Source organism: Homo sapiens, chromosome 4, assembly GCF_000001405.40.
Source record: "Homo sapiens chromosome 4, GRCh38.p14 Primary Assembly".
In the NCBI taxonomy this organism is placed as follows: Eukaryota; Metazoa; Chordata; class Mammalia; order Primates; family Hominidae; genus Homo; species Homo sapiens.
In genome coordinates, this window is record NC_000004.12 from 67,975,525 (window position 1) to 67,997,444 (window position 21,920).

General features: G+C 37.1%; 1 pseudogene across 1 annotated transcript; it reads right to left on the minus strand.

The window, feature by feature from the left end:
* Positions 1 to 16,287: 16,287 nt before the first annotated feature.
* TMPRSS11GP (transmembrane serine protease 11G, pseudogene) lies at positions 16,288 to 21,915 on the minus strand (annotated as a pseudogene). Its single transcript, NR_033737.2, has 4 exons — positions 21,808 to 21,915; positions 18,998 to 19,062; positions 18,458 to 18,591; positions 16,288 to 16,321 (listed from the first exon to the last, which is right to left on the minus strand). The product of NR_033737.2 is annotated as a transmembrane serine protease 11G, pseudogene (transcript).
* Between the last annotated feature and the right edge of the window lie 5 nt (positions 21,916 to 21,920).

The window sequence follows — 21,920 nt, forward strand, 5'->3', positions numbered from 1 at the left end:
GGGTTCCCAGTTTTACTCCATTACAGACAGAGCACCTACTTTGTATGATTTTAATTCTTTTAAATATGTTGAGGATAATTATCCAGAATATGTTTATCTTGAGAACTGTTACATGTGTGCTTGAAAAAAAAAAGTGTATCTTGCTGTTGAGTGAAGTGTTTTATAAATGTCAATTGGACCCTATTGGTTGATAGTGTTGTTTAGATCTGTATCCTTGCTGATTTTCTGCCAGGTAATTCTATCAATTATTGAAATCAGAGGATGTTGAACTTGCCAACTACATTGTACATTTTTCTTTATCTCCTTTTACTTCTCTCAGTTTTTGCTTCATATATTTTGAAGCTCTGTTGTTTGGTGTATGAACATGTAGAATTGCTAAATATTATTGGTGGATTGATCCTTTTAGAAGTACGTATGTGCCTCTTTGGCCCTAGTAAGTTTCTTTGTTTTAAAATTTACATGTTCTGATAACAATACAGCTATTCCTTTTTAAAATAGTTTTTATGATTTATCTTTTTCCATCCTTTTATTTTCAACTTATCTATGTAGCTATATTTGAAATGAGTTTCTTTTTTGTCGATTAAAAAATAAAATAAAACTTTTTTTCTTCAACTTTTAAGTTCAGGGGTAGATGTGCAAGATATGCAGGTTTGTTTCATAGGTAAACATGTGCGATACTGGTTTGCTGCACAGAACAACCAATTGCCTAGGTATTAAGCCCAGAATCCATTAGCTATTCTTCCCTCCTCCCATGCCCCACCGTCCAACAGGTCCAAGTGTGTTGTTTCCCCTTATGTGTGTCCATGTGTTCTCATCATTCAGCTCCCACTTATAAGTGAGAACATGCAGTGTTTGGTTTTGTGTTCCTGCATTAATTTGCTATGAATATGGCTTCCAACTCCATCATTGTTCCTGCAAAGGACATGACATTATTCCTTTTTATGGCTGCATAGTATTCCATGGTGTATATGTACCACATTTTCTTTCTCCACTCTATATTTAATAGGCATTTGGGTTGATTCTGTGTCTTTGCTATTGTGAATAGTGCTGCAATGAACATACATGTATGTGTACCTTTGTAATAGAATGATTTATATTCCTTTGGGTATATACCCAGTAATGGGATTGATGGGTCAAATTGCATTTCTGCCTCTAGATCTTTGACGAATTGCCACACTGTCTTCCACAATGGTTGAATCAATTTACACTCCAACCAACAGTGTAAAAGCATTCCTTTTTCTCTGCAACCTCACCAGTATCTGTTGTTTCTTGACTTTTTAATAACAGCCATTCTGACTGGCATGAGATGGTATCTCATTGTGGTTTTGATTTGCTTTTCTCTAATGATCACTGATGTTGAGCTTTTTTTCATGTGTTTGTTGGCTGCATGTATGTCTTCTTTTGAGAATTGTGTTCATGTCCTTTACTCACTTTTTAAGGAGTTGTTTGTTTTTTTCCTTGTACATTTGTTTAAGTTCCTTGTAGACTCTGGATATTAGACCTTCGTCAGCTAGATAGATTGCAAAAATTTTCTCCCATTCTGTAGGTTGTCTGTTAGCTCTGATAATAGTTTCTTTTGCTGTACAGAAGCTCTTTAGTTCAAGTAGATGCTATTTGTCAGTCTTTGCTTTTGTTGCAATCGCTTTTGGCATTTTCATCATGAAATCTTTGCCCGTGCTTATGTCTTGAATGGTATTGCCTATATTTTTCTTCTAGGATTTTTACAGTTTTGGATCTTCCATTTAAGTCTTTAGTCCATCTTGAGTTAATTTTTGTTTATGGTGTAAGGAAGGGGTCCAGTTTCAATTTTTTGCATGTGACTAGCCAGTTCTCCCAGCACAATATATTAAGTAGAGAATCCTTTACTCATTGCTGGTTTTTGTTAGGCTTGTCGAAGATCAGATTGTTGTAGATGTGCAGTCTTATTTCTGAAATCTCTATTCTGTTCCATCAGTCTATGTGTCTATTTTTGTACAAATACCATGCTGTTTTGGTTACTGTAGCCATCTGGTATAGTTTGAAATCGGGTAACATAATGCCTCCAGCTTTGTTCCTTTTGCTTAGGATTGTCTTGGCTATTTGGGCTTTTTTTGTTCCATATGAATTTTAAAATAGTTTTTTTCTATTTCTGTGAGAAATGTCAATGGTAATTTAATGGGAATAGAATTGAATGTATAAATTACTTTGGGCAGTATGGCCATTTTCACAATATTGATTCTTCCTATCCATGAACATGGATTCTTTCTTTCCCCAAGTTTTTCCGTTTGTTTGTGTCCTCTCCAATTTCTTTGAGTAGTAGTTTGTAGTTCTCCTTGAAGAGGTCCTTCATTTCCCTTGTTAGCTGTATTCCTAGGTATTTTATTCTTTTTGTAGCAATTGTGAATGAGAGTACATTCATGATTTGGCTCTCTGATTGCCTGTTGTTGGTGTACAGAGATTTTTGCACATTGATTTTGTGTCCTGAGACTTTGCCGAAGTTGCTTATCAGCAGAAGAAGCTTTTGGGCTGAGACAATGGGGTTTTATAGATACAGGGTCATGTCATCTGCAGACAAAGATAATTTGACTTCCTCTCTTCCTATTTGAGTATCCTTTATTTCTTTCTCTTGTCTGATTGCCCTGGCCAGAACTTCCAATACTATGTTGAATAGGAGTAGTGAGAGAGGGCATACTTGTCTTGTGCTGGTTTTCAAAGGGAATCCTTCCAGCTTTTGCCCATTCAGTATGATATTGGCTGTGGGTTTGTCATAAATTGCTGTTATTATTTTGAGGTGTGTTCCTTTTTTGTCTTTATTTCTGTTTATGTGTTGAATCACATTGATTGATTTGTGCATGTTGAAACTCCCTTGCATCCCGGGGATGAAATGAACTTGATCATGGTGGATAAACTTTTTGATGTGATACTGGATTCAGTTTGCCAGTATTTTATTGATGATTTTTGTACCTATGTTCATCAGGGATATTGGCCTGAAATTTTCTTTTTTGGGGTATCAAAAAAAGTGAAGCCTTTGGTATCAGGATGATGCTGGGCTTTTAGAATAGTTTCAGTAGAATTGGTACCAGCTCTTCTTTTTACCTCTGGTGGAATTCAGCTGTGAACCTGTCTGGTTCTGGGCTTTTTTTTGGTTGGCAGGCTATTTCTTACTGCCTGAATTTCAGAACTCATTACTAGTCTATTCAGTGACTCAACTTCTTCCTGATTCAGTCTTAGGAGGGTGTATGTGTCCAGGAATTTATTCATTTCTTCTGGAGTTTGTAGTTTATGTCCATAGAGATATTTATAGTATTCTCTGATGGTCATATTTCTAAGGGTCAGTGGTAATATCCCCCTTATCATTTCTGATTGTGTCTATTTGATTATTCTCTCTTTTCTTCTTTATTGGTCTAGCTAGTGATCTATTTTATTATTTTTTTCAAAAACACAGCCCCTGGACTTACTGATTTTTTTGTGGGTTTTCTTTGTGTCTCTATTGCCTTCAGTTTTGCTCTGATCTTGGTTATTTCTTATCTTCTGTTAGCTTTGGGATTGTTTGCTCTTGGTTCTCTATTTTTTTTTTTTTTATTGAGATGGAGTCTTACTCTGTCACTCAGGCTGGAGTGCAGTGGCACAATCTCTGCTCACTGCAACCTCTGCCTCCCAGGTTAAAGTGATTTTCCTGCCTCAGCCTCCCGAGTAGCTGGAATTACAGGTGCATGCCACCAAACACAGCTAAATTTTTTTGTTTTAATTTTTAGTACAGATGGGGTTTCACTGTATTGGTGAAAACATGGTCTCCAACTCCTGACCTCAAGTGGTTTGCCTGCCTTGGCCTCCCAAAGTGCAGGGATTACAGGTGTGAGCAAATACACATGGCTGATTCTCTATTTCTTTTAGTCGTGATGTTAGGTTGTTGATTTAAGATCTTTCTAGGTTTTTGATGTGGATATTTTAGTGTTATAAATTTCCCTCTTAACACTGCTTTAACTGTGTCCCAGAGATTCTGGTATGTTGTGACTTGGTACTCAAAGGTTTCAAAGAACTTCTTGATTTCTGCCTTAATTTCATTATTTATCTAGGAGTCATTCAGGAGCAGATTGTTCAATTTTCATATAATTGTGAGGTTTTGAGTGAGTTTCTTAATCTCGAGCTTTCATTTGATTGTGCTGTGGTCTGAGAGACTGTTATGATTTCATTTATTTTTCATTTGCTGAGGAGTGCTTTACTTCTGATTATGTGATCAATTTTAGTGTAAGTGCCATGTGGTGATTAGATGAATGTATATTCTGGTTTTGTGTGTGTGTGTGTGTGTGTGTGTGTGTGTGTGTGTGTGTGTGTGTGGAGAGTTCTGTAGATATCTATCAGGTTCACTTGACCCAGCGCTGAGTTCAGGTCCTGAATATCTTTGTTAATTTTCTGTCTCAATTATCTGTCTAATGTTGTCAGTGGGGTGATAAACTCTACTATTATTGTGTGGGAGTCTAAGTCTCTTTGTAGGTCTCTAAGGATTTGCTTTATGAATCTGGGTGCTCCTATTTTGGGTGCATATATATTTAGGATAGTTAGCTCTTCTTGTTGAATTGAATCCTTTACCATTACGTAATGTCCTTTGTCTTTTCTGATCTTTGTTGGCTTAAAGTCTGTTTTGTCAGAAACTGGGATTGAAACCCCTGCTTTTTTCTATTTTCCATTTGTTTGGTAAATTTTCCTTCATCCCTTTATTTTGAGTCTATGTGTGTCTTTGCATGTGAGATGGGTCTCTTGAAGAGAGCATACTGCTTTTTCTTGACTCTATCCAGCTTGCCATTCTGTGTCTTTTAAATGGGGCATTTAGCCCGTTTACATTTAAGGTTAATGTTGTTATTTGTGAATTTTATCCTGTCATCATGATGTTAGCTGTTTATTTTGCAGACTTGTGTATGTGGTTATTTCACAGTGTCACTGGTCTGTGTAGTTCAATGTGTTTTTGTAGTGGCTGGTCATGGTTTTTCCTTTCCATATTTAGTGCTTTCTTCTGGAGCTTTTGCCAGGAAGGCCTAATGGTGATGAATTCCCTCAATGTTTGCTTGCCTGAAAAGAATTCTACTTCTCCTTCGCTTATGAAGCTTAGTTTAGCAGGACATGAAATTCTGGGTTGGATTTTTTTTCTTTAATACTGTTGAATATTGGTCTCCAATCTCTCCCGGCTTACAGGGTTTCTGCTCAGAGGTCCGCCGTTAGTCTGATGGACTTCCCTTTTTAGGTGACCTGGCCTTTCTTTCTGGCTGCACTTAACATTTTTTCTTTCATTTCGACCTTGGTGAATCTGATGATTGTGTCTTGGGTTGATCTTCTCATCGAATATCTTACTGGGGTTCTCTGGCTTTCCTGAATTTGAATGTTGGCCTGTCCTTCTAGGTTGGGGAAGTTCTCCTAGATGATATCCTGAAGTATGTTTGCCCACTTGGTTCTGTTCTCCCTGTCTCTTTCAGGTACCCCAATTAGTTGTAGGTTCAGTCCTTTGTTTTACATAATCCCTTATTTTTTGCAGTTTTTGTTTATTTCTTTTCATTCTTTTTTCTCTATTCTTGTCTGCCTGTCTTATCTCAGAAAGCTAGTCTTCAAGCTCTGAGATTCTTTCCTCAACTTTGTCATTCTGCCACTGAAACTTGTGATTGCATAGTGTAGTTCATGTATTGTGTCCATCAGGTTCATTATGTTCCTTTTTAAAGTGGCTATTTTTGTTATCACCTCCTGTATTATTTTATTATTATTCTTAGCTTCTTTGCATTGGGTTAGAACATGCTCCTTTAGCTAAGTGAAGTTGGTTATTACTCACCTTCTGAAGACTACTTCTGTCAATTTAGCCATCTTAGCCTCAGCCCATTTCTGTGCCCTTGCTGTAGAAGTGTTGTGGTCATCTGGAGGAGAAGCAGCACTCTGGCTTTTTTAGTTTTCAGCATTTTTGTGTCATATTTTTCTCATCTTTGTGGGCTTATCTACCTTCGATCTTTGAGGTTGCTGACCATTAAATAGAATTTTTGTGAGATCTTTTCTGTTGATATTGTTGTTGTTGCTTTCTGTTTGTTTGGTTTTTGGGTTTTGGGTTTTGGGTTTTTTTTGGAGATGGAGTCTCACTCTGTCACCAGTGTGGAGTGCAGTGGCACAATCTCGGCTCACTGCAACCTCTGCCTCCCCAGTTCAAGCAATTCTCCTACCTCAGCCTCCTGAGTAGCTGGGACTACAGGCACGTGCCACCATGCCCAGCTAATTTTTGTATTTTTATATACTCCAGACCCTAGTTGCCTTGGTCCCTCCCACACCTGAAGGTATCACTAGTAAAGGCTGCAAAAGAGCAAAGATTGAAGACTGCTCCTTCCTCTGGCAGCTCCATCCGAGGGGGGCACCAACCTGATGCCAGCTGAATGCTCCTGTTGGAGGTGTCTGGAGACCCATGTTGGGAGGTCTCACCGAGTCAGGAGGAAATAGATCAGAGACCTGCTTAAAGAAACAGTCTGGCTGCTCCTTGGCAGAGCAGGTTTGCTGCACTAACTGCCTAGCCTCTCCAGAGCTGGCAGCCTGGAAAGTTGAAGTCAGCTGAACCACAGAGATGGCAGCTGACCTTCCCCTGGGGCTCCATTTCAGAGAGACCTCAGAGTTCTGTACATATAAACCTGGCTGGAGTTGCTGAAATTCCCACAGGGAGGCCCCGCACAGTAAGGAGGGATGGTTCCCAGTCCCTCTTAAAGAATCTGTCTGGCCACGATCTGCAGGGGAATAGTCCATCTCAGGCAGTCTCCAGCTGGCTGCTGCTGGCCAGCTCGAATTCCAAGCCAGTGGGTCTTAACTTGTGAGGTGCCGTGGGAGTGGGGCCTGCAGAACCATGCCACTTGGCTCCCTGTATTCACCCCTTCCTAGGGGAATGCATGTGTGGATCTCTCACCTTGCCATAATTCCTGGGTATGGAACATGCAAAACTCCTGGATCTCTGTGAGTGCCAGTTAGTGCAGTTAGTTACAAGTATTTATTATAAATATGAGATTTATTTACATTAAAAGTTTAGTGTTCAAAACCTGTCTGTTTATATTGCCTACAACTCTGAGAAATGAAATTATGTTGGATATTTTGGAAAGAATGCTAAGGTAATTCTTTACTCCCTACTCCAACAACCTTGAGATGTTTATTCAGGGTGAGGAAACCTCTCTTCTTCCTTCAACAATTAAATACAAAGATACATCATTGATTCTAGTCTAATCTGAAGAAAATGTACTGGAATACAATCTGAAAGTGACTTAGTACATGATATTGGGTGTTGCAGAATTCCTGGGTCATAGAGCATACGTTTGTGTAATTCGACTAAAATGTACTGCTACTACTAGCATTCTGTGAAGGTTCCACATCCTTGCCTACACTCAACTTACTCCCTTGGTTTATTAGGTATAAAGTGATGCCTTAGTTTTGTTTTAATTATATTTCTCTGAATACTAGTTATTTGAGCATTTTTATATGCTTGCTAGCTTTTTGTTTTTGTAAATTTCCTTTTCATGTGCTTTACTCCTGTTTCTACTGAGATTACTGTTTTCCTAGTTGATTTGCAAGGTTATTTTGTATATTGTAGATATCAGTACATTGTCAGTTTTAGATATTTTAAGTATCTTCCTCAATTCTATCCTTAATGTTAGTTTGTTAGTTGCATAACAGAAATAGTCAAATATGTCTTATTTTTGCCTTACATTTAATACTTTCTATGTTTTGCTGTAACAATCTATTCCTTATCCTATGTTGCAAAGATATTCTTCCTTTTTTAATATTAACATGATCAGTTTTTCCCTTCTTACTTAGGTCTCTAATCCATTTTTGGAGTCTGCCTTTGTGCATAGTTTTAGGTAAGGTTCTATTGTTGTGGTGATCCTGAAAATGTGTCTCTTAGAATATTATTGACAGGTGGCTCAACTGCTGTGCTTTGAGCCCAAAGCTGCACTCACACTGCAGCCACATTTCCCATGAGCTCCTCCCAGCCTGTGACTAAGCACAGGAGGGTTTTTAAGGTAAGCCCATTTCTGGGAGATGTGGAATTCCTTTGATGAGTAACTTTGACGTAAGGACTCCCCAAAGGCTTGGCCAAATCTTCTTAAAACTGCACTGCAATGTGGAACTCTTCCTACCCAACTGTTTTTACGTCCTTCTGTACTACACAAGGATCAGAGCTGCATGGCATTCTGAAGTGTCTTTATGACTCTTCCAACAAGCATACTTTTTTCTTCACATATGTTTTCCTTAATAATTATCTTGCACCTCAGATTCCATCTTGAGGTCTGATAGAGTGGTCTTAGAAAATCTGGAACTGATTAGCTCACCTCAGTGTGTGTTGGGCAGAGGATGCCATGCTGAATGGCTGCAGGGCACAGATAATCCCAGGCATAAGGTGGCAGGTGCATTGTTAAAGATTTCACCAGCAGTAGCCCGGGAAAACTTTTTGGTGCTTCCTGATAGAGGGGACACCATTGCAGGTAATAGTTCAGACAGCTGAAAGATAGGAGGGAAGAATGCCTCTTACAAAGATATTGGAGTTGGCTAGTTACTGTTAAATTGCATTGTTGTCCTACATAGGGATAAGGAGAAACTGAAGGCCATTTAAAATATGTTAAAGGCTAAGCATGAGAACCAGTTACAAAAAAGCTTTTATTTCATGCAGAGGAAGAGTAGACACAGCCAAGCAGCAGGCTAAAGATCTAATAGTTAGATACCCAGAGTTTGAATGCTTAGTCAAAGCTGATCGGCTATGCTTTGGTCAGGGTCCTAATTGGGAAAACCCAGGAACTTGAAATATAAGATGGGTCAACTGGATTGATGTCTTTCGGGATGTTGGTTCTGCAGACTCCCTGAAACCTCAGAGTTTATAGAAGTAATCACTGTCTCCTTAGTAAGAGCCAGCTCTTCTCCCCTGCTGAAAGATGCTATAGAGCTGTTTCACCCACAAGGCAACAGGTGCTCCTCAAGAGATATTCTTACCTCCTCAACTGACAACCAGGCCAATGGCTCAGCTAGTAACATGCTGGGCTTGAAAAGATAGAAAAAGAGACTATGTACTAAAGAACTGTAAGAACTGGTGCGTATCTATTGGCTCCTGACATTAGGTTTTGAGGGTGGTTGATCATGGAGGGGTGAATGAAAGACTGGATAAGTAAGAATTCATTGACTTAGGAGCACTTTCTCAAGACATGGAATTTGACAACCTAGCAAAAACCCAAGGAGCAAACCTGCTAGGGTGGCTCTTAGCATCCTGGAAGAAGCCATATCCAGGATTGAATACAGATGAAGTGTCCCAGTTGCCTTAGAAGACAGCGGAGAAAGAAATAAAGAGGCTGAGGGAAGTGGGCATGTCAAAATGGATATATTATGTGAGGCCAGAAGACCCACCAGGGCATGTGTTTCATCAGGAAGCCCAGAGGACATATCATTTATGAAAGTCACTACAAATGAGCTGGTGAGAGGAGCTTGAGAATAACTAAGAAGTTCAATGATGGCTCTCGTTGCAGATGGAGGCTGCAATAAGGGAAGCACCTACAGTCCTGAGATTGTCCATAGGGATGATGGAATCCTGAAGTAATAGATGCAAAGTGTCAGTGCTAAACTGCCAAAGCCAGGAACCCACAGTGAGCTTTAACAAATGGCAAGGTTGGAGGGACAGCTATGGAAGTTTTTCCCACAAAGAATTGTGGAGACAGTTCAAAAAGTATGGTGTTTTTAGGGGAAAATAAACAGGCAGCTAGCCAGCATGCTGATTAACATCTACAACCAAAGAAGAAAAAATGCAAAAATGGAAGATCAGGAGGCTCTAGGTGATCACCCCAATAGAAAGCCATGATCCCTTTCTTAGTTCTTAGACTTGAGGCAATTTTCAGATCCAGAATCCATTGGCTGAAGAGGTGGCCAAGTCCCTAGGAGGAAGAACCCTGTTACACCATGATAATTATATACAGTGATGATTCCCTAAGTGCTTCTCCAAAGGGACCTATAACTTTTTACTTACTGGGTGACTATACAAAAGGCAAAGGGAATACCCAGATATTTCAAAAACTATTAGAAACAGGATCTGAGTTGATACTGATACCGGAGACATATAGCATCATTATAGCTCCTGTTAAGTGTGAAGATTTATGGGGCCCAATTATGTCCTGGATTTGAGATTCTAGGTATATAGTTCCTTTCCTTTAATACTTTAAAAATATTACTTCAGTGACATCTCATATCCAGTATTGCTGCTGAGAAAACTGATGTCCTATGCTTCTTGTTTCTTTATAGGTGAACTGCTTTTTCTCTCTGGTAGCTTTTATAATGTTTTTAATTTAAAATCCACTTTAACATATCAAGGTATGGGTTTTTCCTTATTTCTTCTATTTGGAACTCTATAAGCCTTTTTTATATACAGTTTTAAAATTTTCTTTTATTATTAAAATCTTATCTTCATTAGTTTTTAAAATATTTCCTCATCTCAATTTTTAATTTTTTTCTGCATTTGAGAATCTTGTAATTGGGATATTGGCATCTCTACTTCTCTATCTTTCATATCTCTAATTTTTTAAAATTTATTTTTATATTTTTATCCTTCCCTTCTTCCTTTCTGAGAGAGTTCTTCAATTTGAACTTGCAATTCATCAATTTATTTTTCCGTCATAACTATCCTATTATCTATCTAATCAACTGTGCTTTTGTATTTCAACTCTTATATTTTCCATGTCTAATATTTTCATTCTGTTTTTATGCATGCTTCTTCTTGTTTCAGATGATTAATGTGAGCAATGACAAATAGCTCATATCTTCCCTTATATCTTTAAATACTGATATAATATGTATTTTACATCCTTTGTTTATACTAATGCTTCTGTTTCAGAGGCTATATGTTTTCTTGTCTATTGTCTTTCTTCTGAAGAAGTTGTACCATTTGGAGTTTATTTATTTTAGACTATGATTTCATGTTTCTCCAGGAGCATCAGCTGCTTTATCAGGCAGCATGGGCTATGGAAGGGTCAAAGGGCAGGTGTTTACTTGTGTCAGTCAAAGTGAATTTAAGGAACAGATTGGGGATGAATCCTAGGGTAGAGAGTCCCAGAGCCCACAAAACCTATTATTGATCATTCTCACTCATTGACTTTCTATCAGTTGACTTTTCCAGTGGGAATTTCACTGACAAATTCTTAAGAGTGAAGCAGCACTAGAAGGAAGAAGGTTCTTTTAATTTTAATGCAACAGCCCTGGAGATGTGGAGGGTAAGGTGAGAAGACAGTACCTGAAAGCAGCTAATTAGTGCTACCTTTTCCAGAAACTTCTCTCCTCAGCAGGCTTTTTCTCCTGTCCTTTCAAAATTGGTGGTCTGAATTGCTAAGACTAATTTCTGGTATGATAAGAAGGTAAACATTGTCTCAAAGCAATGTAGGGCAAAACATGGTGTTGGGAGATGTAAGAGAAAAACTTAAAAAGCCTTTCTCTTAACTATCCTCTCATTCTACTCTAGACTTCAGCCACCTACCTCCCTACACACTCTATCTAGTTCAAGTTAGCTCCAGTCTCCTAGTTCTGGCCTAGAATCCAGGTTTACTTCTTTCATCTGTAGTGTGTCTAGGGTTGATTTGGAGAAAGGAACAAGTGTCCTATGCTAGTACACCATTTTTATAGACATGAAAGCCTATGTGTGTGTGCATATGTATGTACTTACCAAATGATCTTATTTTTGAAATGAAAAGTGTATAAATCATTTGTTAGTGAAGATATATATTTATTTATTTAATAAGTCCTTCATTAGTGAATAGATATATTTATTCATGTTTGTATAAATGTAAATAATGTAAACGGATATATAGAAGTTTAAACTTTGATTTGCTTAGGAGAAAATCAGGGAGAGATTGTTAGAATTTTCTTTGTTGGGAAATAGCTCACATAACTTTGTAGCTTGAATTACAGTTGACCCTTGGACAACATGGGGGTTAGGGTTGATGGCCCCACATAGTCAAAAATTCATGTATAACTCGCGACTCTCTCAAAACTTAACTATGCATAGCCTACTGTTGAATGGAAGCCTTTTTGATAAGACAAAGAGTTGACTGACATATATATTTTATGTTATGTGTATTATATACTGTATTCTCACAATACAATAAGAGAAAAGAAAATGTTATTAAAATCTTAAGGAAGAAACAATATATTTACTATTCATTATGTGGAAGTGGATCATCATAAAGGTCTTCCTTCTCATTGTCTTCCCATTGAGCAGGCTGAGGAGGAGGAAGAAGAGAAGGGATTGGTCTTACTGTCTCAGGGGTGCCAGCTGTGGAAAAAAATCCACATATAAGTAGCCCTGATATGGTTTGGCTCTGTCCCCACCCAAATCTCATCTTGAATTGTAGTTCCTATAATACCCACGTGTCGTGGATGGACCCAGTGGGAAGTAATTGAATCATGGGGGCAGATCTTTTCCATGCTGTTCTCATGGTAGCGAATAAGTCTCATGAGACCTGATGGTTTTATAAAGGGCAGTTCCCCTGCACAAGCTCTCTAGCCTGCCACCATGTAACACGTGCCTTTGTTCCTCCTTGCCTTCCACCATGATTTTGAGGCCCCCAGCCATGTGGAACTGTGAGTCCATTAAACCTCTTTCCTTTATAAATTACCCAGTCTGGGGTATGTCTTTATTGGAGCATGAGAACAGACTAATACAGGTCCAGTGCAGTTCAAATCCATGTTGTTCAAGGGTGAACTGTAAAATAAAATATATTTTTAAAATAACATGGACCAGGGGCCGGGCGCGGTGGCTCACGCCTGTAATCCCAGCACTTTGGGATGCCGAGGCGGGCGGATCACGAGATCAGGAGATCGAAACCATCTTGGCTAACAAGGTGAAACCCCATCTCTACTAAAAATACAAAAAATTAGCGGGGCGCGGTGGCGGGCGCCTGTAATCCCAGCTACTCAGGAGGCTGAGGCAGGAGAATGGCATGAACCCGGGAGGCAGAGCTTGCAGTGAGCCGAGATAGCGCCACTGTAGTCCGGCCTGGGCGAAAGAGAGAGACTCCGTCTAAAAAATAAATAAATAAATAAATAACACGGACCAGCAGATGGCAGCACACTGTAACACATTTGGTCAAACTTTATTGCTTCTCCTGAACAACGTGAGTCCTAGTGACCTGCTATTTCCACATTTGCTTGATTTAACTACAATAAAATGACATTAATGGATTATGCAATCCAATTCTTGTTGTATTTGGGTTGGCTGCTTGCTTAAATAGTCATCTGTGGTTTTTAATCTGCGTGGTTTTTAATCTGTGTGACTAAGTCATTCTGATGCTCTTCCATCAGTTGTTACTCTCCCTTGGTTGCCATTAGCATATCTTCCTGGCTTAGAAGAAATACTCTCTTGATTTAAAAAACAACAAAACCTCTTTTTGATTCTTTAATATCCTATTAATTAGAGAAGTTATTTCATCTTTTTCTAAGGTCAGTTGAAAATCCAGTTTCTGACCATTTCAGCCTCAACTATGAGTCTCTGGTGGCCCCTTTTCCACTAGTGGACTGGCGCCACTAGAGGAAGAAGGGTCTAAAAATAATGCTATGCTTGGCCAAACACAGGCCCAAAAGAGTATGCTACTTTAGACAGCAGCTATCAAAAACACTTTATGTGGTTTTGAGAAAGGAGACTTACATACGATTGTATATTCAACGGCTAGAATACTCAGTATCTGACACATAGAGGTTTAAGAAATGCTTGTTGGATGAATAAGTAATTAGGTAAGTCGGCGCCTTGAATATTTTAGGTCAGTGATGTCCAATACAACTTTTTTTTAATGATGGAAATGTTCTATATCTGTGCTGCCCAAAATAGAAGCCACTAAGCCCATGTGACTATTTTGTGCTTAAAATGTGATTAGTATGACAGTAATGACAAAATGTGATCCGTATGAGGAAATACATTTTATTTTATTTTATTTTAATCTAAATAGCTTCATCTGGCTAGTGGCTCGCACATTGGATAGTGTAGCTTTTAGTGCTTAGTGATGTTATGCAATTCTGTATGCTCCACTGTTAAGTGTTAATGGATGATGATGGGCTGAAAGCTGAATACATAAGCCCCCTTTTTGAATAGTGTCTGTCTACGCATTCTGAAGATATTAAACAGAGAACACTTGGTGCAATTATTCAAGATTTAGGCATTTGACAGATAACTCCCTATATATTCATGTATATTTGCCTGTAGGAGCTCAGCCTTCAAACAGTCTTCTTTCTCTAACTTTCTCTAATCAGGAAGATCAGTTTCCAGATGATCCTAATTTGGCTAGGATGGTATAAATATGAGTGTGGTCATACTAGGCTTTTTTTTCCCTAGCGTTTTCAATGCATCAGTATTACAAAAGAGAGAGAAGAAAAAATTTTCCAAACTCATGTAAGGAAATTGTGAGCGCATGGTTTTTAACAGTGATTTTTTTTTTCCTATTACTATTGATCCCATAGCAGTATTTCTTAACTGGGGGTGATTTTGCTCCCCTAGGGACATTTGGCAATGTCTGCAGTAACTTTTGGGTTGCAACTTGGTAGGGGAGTACTACTGGAACCTAGTATGTAGAGTTAATGAATGTTGATAATATCACAATACATAGGACAATCCCTTCCCCTCCCCCAATAAAGAATTAACTGTGACAAAATGTCAATAGCACTGAGATTGAGAAATCCTGCATTGTAGTGATGACTCAAACAGATGAATTTGAGTTTGTTGCCATATATATATATATATATATACATATATATATATATATATAAACATACACAATATCCTATTATGTGGAGCAAGAGAGACTCAAAACCCCTCAAAAGATGTTAGCACAGCAATTATCTCACTAACTAAATTAATTTTAAAAGGGAGGTGGGAATAAAGGTTTAGACACTCAGAGTAAGTGTGAGTTTTGTTAAATACTAGTCCACAATCATGTACAAAATATGCAATTAAATACATATAAAAATGACTTTAACATAATAATTAAGCAATTCAAAAGATGTTTTCTTGAATATCTAAATATTTTCTATAAATAGTAATCTGCAAAAAAAATGCTGGCCACCTTTTTCTAGTAAATGTAAATATTACACAATAAGGTCTTTACCAAAATCTTATCAAATTGTTTGTGAATGTCTAATTTTATAATGGCTTCTCATGTAAGTTGTTTATAAGTATCTAATTTATATTGATTTCCCATTCTGCAGATCCCTTAACTGTTCTGAAGTTTGTTGAAAATTGTTTAAATAATACATTAAGATAATTTAAAAAGTGAAAAGTTTACACAAAGATTGAAACGTCTCTCATTTTAAAGATGAAACTGAAAGTAGCTCTTTCTCATTGAATCCTTGCCTTTTTTCCTTTCAACTTAAAAATGCCAAAAAGGCTGCCTTTAATTTATGAGTACATAAAGGCATTTTTACATAGTTCAGAGCAGAATCCTGTACAAAGCAATATTGCCAGTTCTCTTGCTGCCTGATCCAGGGATTAATTGCTCCAAAATAAACATCAGTGTAATTGTTTAAAGAGACTAAAATATACATTACTGAGTGTAAATATAAATGTCAATCTTTTTCAAGTTTCTAAGAAAAGTTAAATGCACATCTCAGGGCAAAGGGGAATAGATTCACAGTAGTGTCATCTCTTAAGTCCTAGTTTCATGCCTAGTGTCCCTTCCATCATTTGTGTTAATGTTGGTGAAAATTAATAACCTTGACTTATCTAGTCCAGTGAACCCACACATTCTTAATGGGGAATATTTGACAAGAGAGACTAAAGCTGTGGAGCCATCAGGTACAGGAAGTGTGCCATTTCAGCGAAAAAGTAGAGAATGCTTAGCCAATTGGTACTTATCTGATTAAACTGCTGGCTCACTCTGAAAGGAATATTGTATGTCTTAGGAAAAGAAAAATGAATAAATCAGAGACACTTAGCAGCAATGGTAGATCTTTGTGTAGTTGAAATATCTTCTGTGCTCACAGGAGCAAAACACTTCAGATGATGTGAAAGCAAGCCTGCCTTCTTCATGTTTAAGGGGAAAGTCATCAGATCACACTTTTTTGGATTTTGAACTTGATGATAATACACATGGTGGCACACGCTAAACACACTTTTTCTAGAGACCACACATGACATTTATAATTTGGATTTGAGATGATTGTTGCATTAGATGTTAGTTTTAGATTTAATCCAGTCCCAATAATGAGTCACTTCGGTATAAAGTCCTGGCTTGTTTTATTTTCCACAGTCTATTCCCCAGCTTACTATTCCAACAAGGTACCAGGCATTTCTATCACGTGCAATAACCAGAGGACCTCCAGAATCACCCTGGAAAAGAAGAAGAAAACAATACGGTCAATGTAATAAATAAAGGGATGTCAGAAATGGGTTAGTTGGCATCTGAATGTCTAATAAACTAACACTTTGGATTGAAATATGTAAAATCATTCTATTTTACTTACCATTAGTGTTAATATGATAATTGAGCTTATTACTTACTCCCTGTTAATGCCTTCAGGTAGAAGGTAATGTGAATAAAGCTAAGATTTCAGGTTTATCCTTGTAAAATTTTTAGTTTTGCTGTCTAAAATTTTTAGTGTTAGTTTAGACAGAGCAAAACTAAATTCTGTGACACTAGGCATGAGACTAGGAAAGCTTAACTAAGACACAGGACTATGTTCTATGTCTTACATAAATGATAACTTCAAGACTCAACAAACAAGTCATCTCGTCCATAAGCCTCTCCCAGATTCATGCCTAGTGTCTCTTGCATCATTGTTTCTGTTAGCTAGAGGGAGTCTCTGGCTGTGAATTTGAATCTCATCTTGTTCCACTCACATTAATTGACAGGAAAGTGTCCTGGATATCATATCACTATGTCTCAGTAGGTTTGAGAGGAGCAACATATGCAAAGGGCACACCATGCAAATATGCGCTATTTATTGCTGAAAATATTCTGCTCCCAAACTAAGGTGGAATCCCTAGCCCTAGTGGACTGGTCTAAAGTCATGAGGACTTCCCTCTTATCTTTAAACCTTGGTTTAGACAAATGATTTTAAATTGATCTTTTAACAATGTACCTATTCATTCAAAAGAACACTATGTGGAAGTCATTATAGAGTCTTTAAACAAGAGAAAAAATTCTGTTTGAAGAAGACATGGGCTTCTAGAGTCTTGTGCCTTGCCTTTAGCTCCCTTCCCTTCCATTTTCTTGACATACTTCTTGATCTCCTACAGTGTCGGTGGACAGAGTGTGAAAACCTTGGTCTACCAAAAGAAGTCCTCCTTAGTTCCTTTTCCTTAGGCCCATATCCTAATTTAGGTCCTTGGTATTTTACTATGCTAGCAGCGAAAGGAAGCAAGGGTATATGAACCAGTGGAAAGAGAGATCTGCTTTTACATAGATTTATTTGTGTTTCTCTTTTAAACCATGTGATCTAGTTATATCTTGGACCACCCACATTACTTCTCCTTCCCCCATGAAGGGAAGTGAGTGGAGGGAGACCATGTATTCTAGAACATGTAGCCAAACCCTCGCCTTTCATTTGTTTGTTTTAATTATTTGTGTGCTATATTATTAGATTGTAAATTCATTGTGGATTCATTGTGATTTTAACAAATGCTTATGTTTCCTTCAGTAACTGCTACAGTATCTTGCAGTTGACAAAAAGTGGAATGAATAAGTGAATATTTATTACCATCACATGACAGACAGCCAATGGCAGCTCAACAGCGGCGCCTTTGCATATAAGAAAAGTGCACATATATATCAAATTCTCAAAGCCATTCTTAATTCTTCAAAAAATCACTAAACTGTTCCCAGTTTCAAATGCTACAAGTTAAAACTTTTATTATTTTATTGGCTTATTTTTAGTCCTTTACATAGCCAGAATTTAAAACTTATATTCTCCTAAAATGTTTAATGCTTATATTATTTATTTAATTAGTTTCTAAATGTGATCTGTGAGGTAACACTTTACTAAGAACAAATGTAGATAAATATGTACTTTTTTGTTTTGTTTCTAATAGCATAATTATGTCTGGAAGTATTTAGGTACCTGTGGGACCTGTGGGACCTGTGGGACGCTGCTTCACTGGCCATAGATGTAGCTGCAGGTCCCATCTTGCAGTGCCTTGCAATTAGTAGTGATTAGATACCTAACTGTTGTTATGATTGTGGCTTGAAGCAATGATTGTATGGCTTACTGACTTGGTTTCTACTATCCGCTTCCAGTATGTTTCTCTAATGAGAGTCCTAATTTGTAGCTGGTGACCATGATTTGGGGATAGTTCTCCTCAATAGGGTGTTAAATGAGAATTATGTCTTATGATTATTCCACTCCCTCATTTTACAATCTCCTCCACAGGTTAATTTCATGCAGTCATGTGAAGTGATATTGTTCTACAGTCAGTAAGGCCATTCCTACTAAACAGTCATTTTTGTGGATTTGAACCTATTCTTACCTTACAGGCATCTAGTTTTCCTGACAAGAATCCAGCACATATCATTCCTGATGATACATACACATGAACTTGATTACATATATCATTACTTATGATCTCTACCTCAACTTCCCGTAGCATATTGGGAAAGGGACCTGAAAGAAAGAAAAAATAAATAGATGAAGAACTTCTACATTGCTGCCATGATAGTTAATTGTGTCTTACAAAGAATGGACCAGTGATAAAACCTAAGTCTTGAAGTTGTAAGATTCTGGACTGAATGACAGTGCTCAGAATCAAGTTACATTTATTGGGTGGCTTCTATTTACTAGGTACCATATTTGGTTTGTTTACTTCTGCTACCTTATTTAATCCTTGCAGCAGCCACCAAAGAAAGACATAAATATTCTCTTTTTCAGTTGAGGAAACTAAAGCTTACCTGGTTAGGAGTCTTATCATGATCACACAGTTAAGGAATAATGTTAGAAGCTTTTTAACTTGATGTGATCTTTGTAAAACCAGAATATTTCTTACCACCTGGGAGAATATGCTACAGCTTACCTTAACCTTACTTGGAAATCTTCATTACTTTACAAAGGACACAGCTATTTTGGGAACCGTGAATCCTGAGGAAAAGCAGCATAGAACACTACTGTACTACCAGATTTAACTTTAATACAGATGCAATGCTATCACTTCATAGGAAAAACCACGCTTACTCTGATAATAGCTTCACTTGCTATCCAAAACAAATACCAGAGTAAGTAACACATAAAGGTAGCTTATATTTTATTAACTAACCACACACTTATTGATTGCATGTAACATTGTTTTAACTATTATATTCTTCTCATTTCTTTAAAATAGGAGCAACTTCTATTTTAAAGACTGTACTAATCTTTCATATAAAGACGGATGCTTTGTTTACAACAGGGTCAAAGAATTGAGAGGATAAGGGAGGGCAGTAGTACTGATTTGAGCGATGAATTAGCGTAATTATGTGCTTAAGGGCCTTGAATTTAGAAGGAGCAGATATAAGTTTGAACACTATTTGCACAATTTACAAGCTATATGTGACTTTGGGAAAGTCGCTAAGCATCATTTAACTCACCTGTGAAAAGAAGAAAATAATGCCTTGCTCAGACGTTTATAAGTTAAAAACAATGAATATAATCAGTTATGACAGTAGCTTGCCTCATATTCAGTTCTTAAAAAATAGATGCTATTAGACTAAATTGTAGAGATTAGGGTATATACTTAAGATCCTCAGGGTCTTAAAGCTGCACTTTAAGGTTTACGTTGGATGGAGAGAAAGTTAGAGCTTTTATAAGGAGAGATCTAGGTTTCTGGGGATTTGGCCATTCGCTGTCAAGAAAACTAATTGTTTTAAAATGAGTAAATTCACTCACCTAAGATTGCCAGTCTTGCTGAGAAACTAAGTCCAGATTCTCTACAGTCATTAAAGATTTTGTAGGGTCTTGTGAATTTTTCCATCTCAGTCATCATCTTTAAAAGGGTCATTGTATGGCCATTTTCTCTTTTATCTCTGATTCTGCTTGAAATGTTCCCAGTGAAGCAGTCTGCTCACCAACTGCTCTTTATATAGATTTTATGCAATCTATTTATTTGAGTAAATGCCTTAGCAATATTCAATACTATCTATTTTGTTGTGTATAATGTCATTAACATTTTTAAGATATTCTCAAGTTTTAATCAATTATATTTCCTATTTGTAATTTCTGTGTGCAAATTTTCATTTTAGCTAATTGGTCTAAAATGCTTAGTCTCAATTTTCAAATGCTTACAATCTTTTAGTCTCAGCTTAAAAAAATAAATTCAAGTGCTCGACAATGTAACAAAATACTTTACATTACCAATTATTTAAAGAAGAAACTGTCCAGAGCGTAGAATATTTCTGTTTTGCAAGCTGTCTGGTAACAAGATTTCTTTTCTTTTTTAAAAAAACTTATTTTAGATTCAGGGATAAACTAGTGTTTCAGGGTTTGTTGTATAGGTTATTTCATCCCCCAAATATTAAGGCTGGTACCCAATAGTTGTTTTTTCTGCTCCTCTCCCTCCTCCCACCCTCCACCCTCAATTAGGCCCCAGTGTCTGTTGTTCTCTTTTTTGTGGTAACAAGATTTCTAATTAGATATGATTGGCTAAATCTTGGGAGGTAGGAGAAGAGAACCTTAGTAGGTCCTTGTCTCCATTTCAAAGTGCAGGAAAATAAAAAAATACAATCAAATATCTATTAATTTACTTTGATGCCTTACAAACCCACAATGTTATTGTGAAATGTATTCAACTTATGAGAGTAGACAGCTCATTGCACAGTATTCTGCACACTATTGGGCTTTGAATGATTCATGATGAAGTAGCAAATCACTCCCAAGCTCTGGGAGTAGGAGGTGTTAAGTTTAGTTAAGATTATAGAGGTAAGCGTAATGGTGCTACTCAAGTAGTAGATGTTTTCCTTTTCTACTTTTATCAGGAAGTGGCTTTAAGTCTTAAAGGATTTAATTCCCCTTTATACTCATCACCATTTCCTATAGAACAATGCAGATCCCTCAGAGATGAGGAAAATTTGATTATATAATCTGAGATTATAACGATAGTGCATCCACCTAGACTCAACATCAGAATTTTAGAGTGTATATTGGAGGGAAGCCGACTTCTATAAAAATTAACTGATTAGACTCATATGACTTCATAATAAGAGCTTGAAACAAAAATTAGAAATTTGAGGGCAGATTAAACTCTCATATGTAAAAAGTCAACCAATAGACATAAAAATGGGAAAGTCATATCAGGATCTAAACATCTATGTTTGTAGTTTATTGTCAAATTTATAAAGTTTCAGGTTGAAGAACAGCTCCATAGATACACGGATCAGAGGGATCCCATTTAATATTTAGGGCCAGGTAAAGAATAATCATTCAGTTTATTCATTTAAGGCTCTTTCTGTTTAGTTGCATGATGCATTGCAAAAGCTTATCATTACTAGTGCTTGCAAATTATACACTTTATGAATCAAGCAGCCATAGCAGAAACTACACATATGAAAGAAAGCATTTGAAAGAAAAAATGATGTAAAAATATGCTTTAATAAATTTGGAAAATAAAGCTCTAACCAGTTTCCAAAATAGTCCATATAAAGACAATAAATATAGGTACCGTGTAATAGTAATGGTGCTAAAGTTTTTGAAATTCACCACATCTGTTTCTTATTTGTTTGTTTTTGCCATATTTATAATGGGACATCTGATTTCATCTCTTATTTATTTTGATTTTGTATTTTATTTCATATCTCTGTTCAAATGAAGGATAGGTTTATATTTTTTGCTTTGTTGTTTTACTGAGATACTCACCATCTAATTTAAGTGCTCCCCATCCAGTGACAAACACTTTACTCTTAGGCAAGGCTTCAAAAGTAGCTTCTGGAAGACAGACTCTGTGCACCTCATTGGAAAATATGATGGGG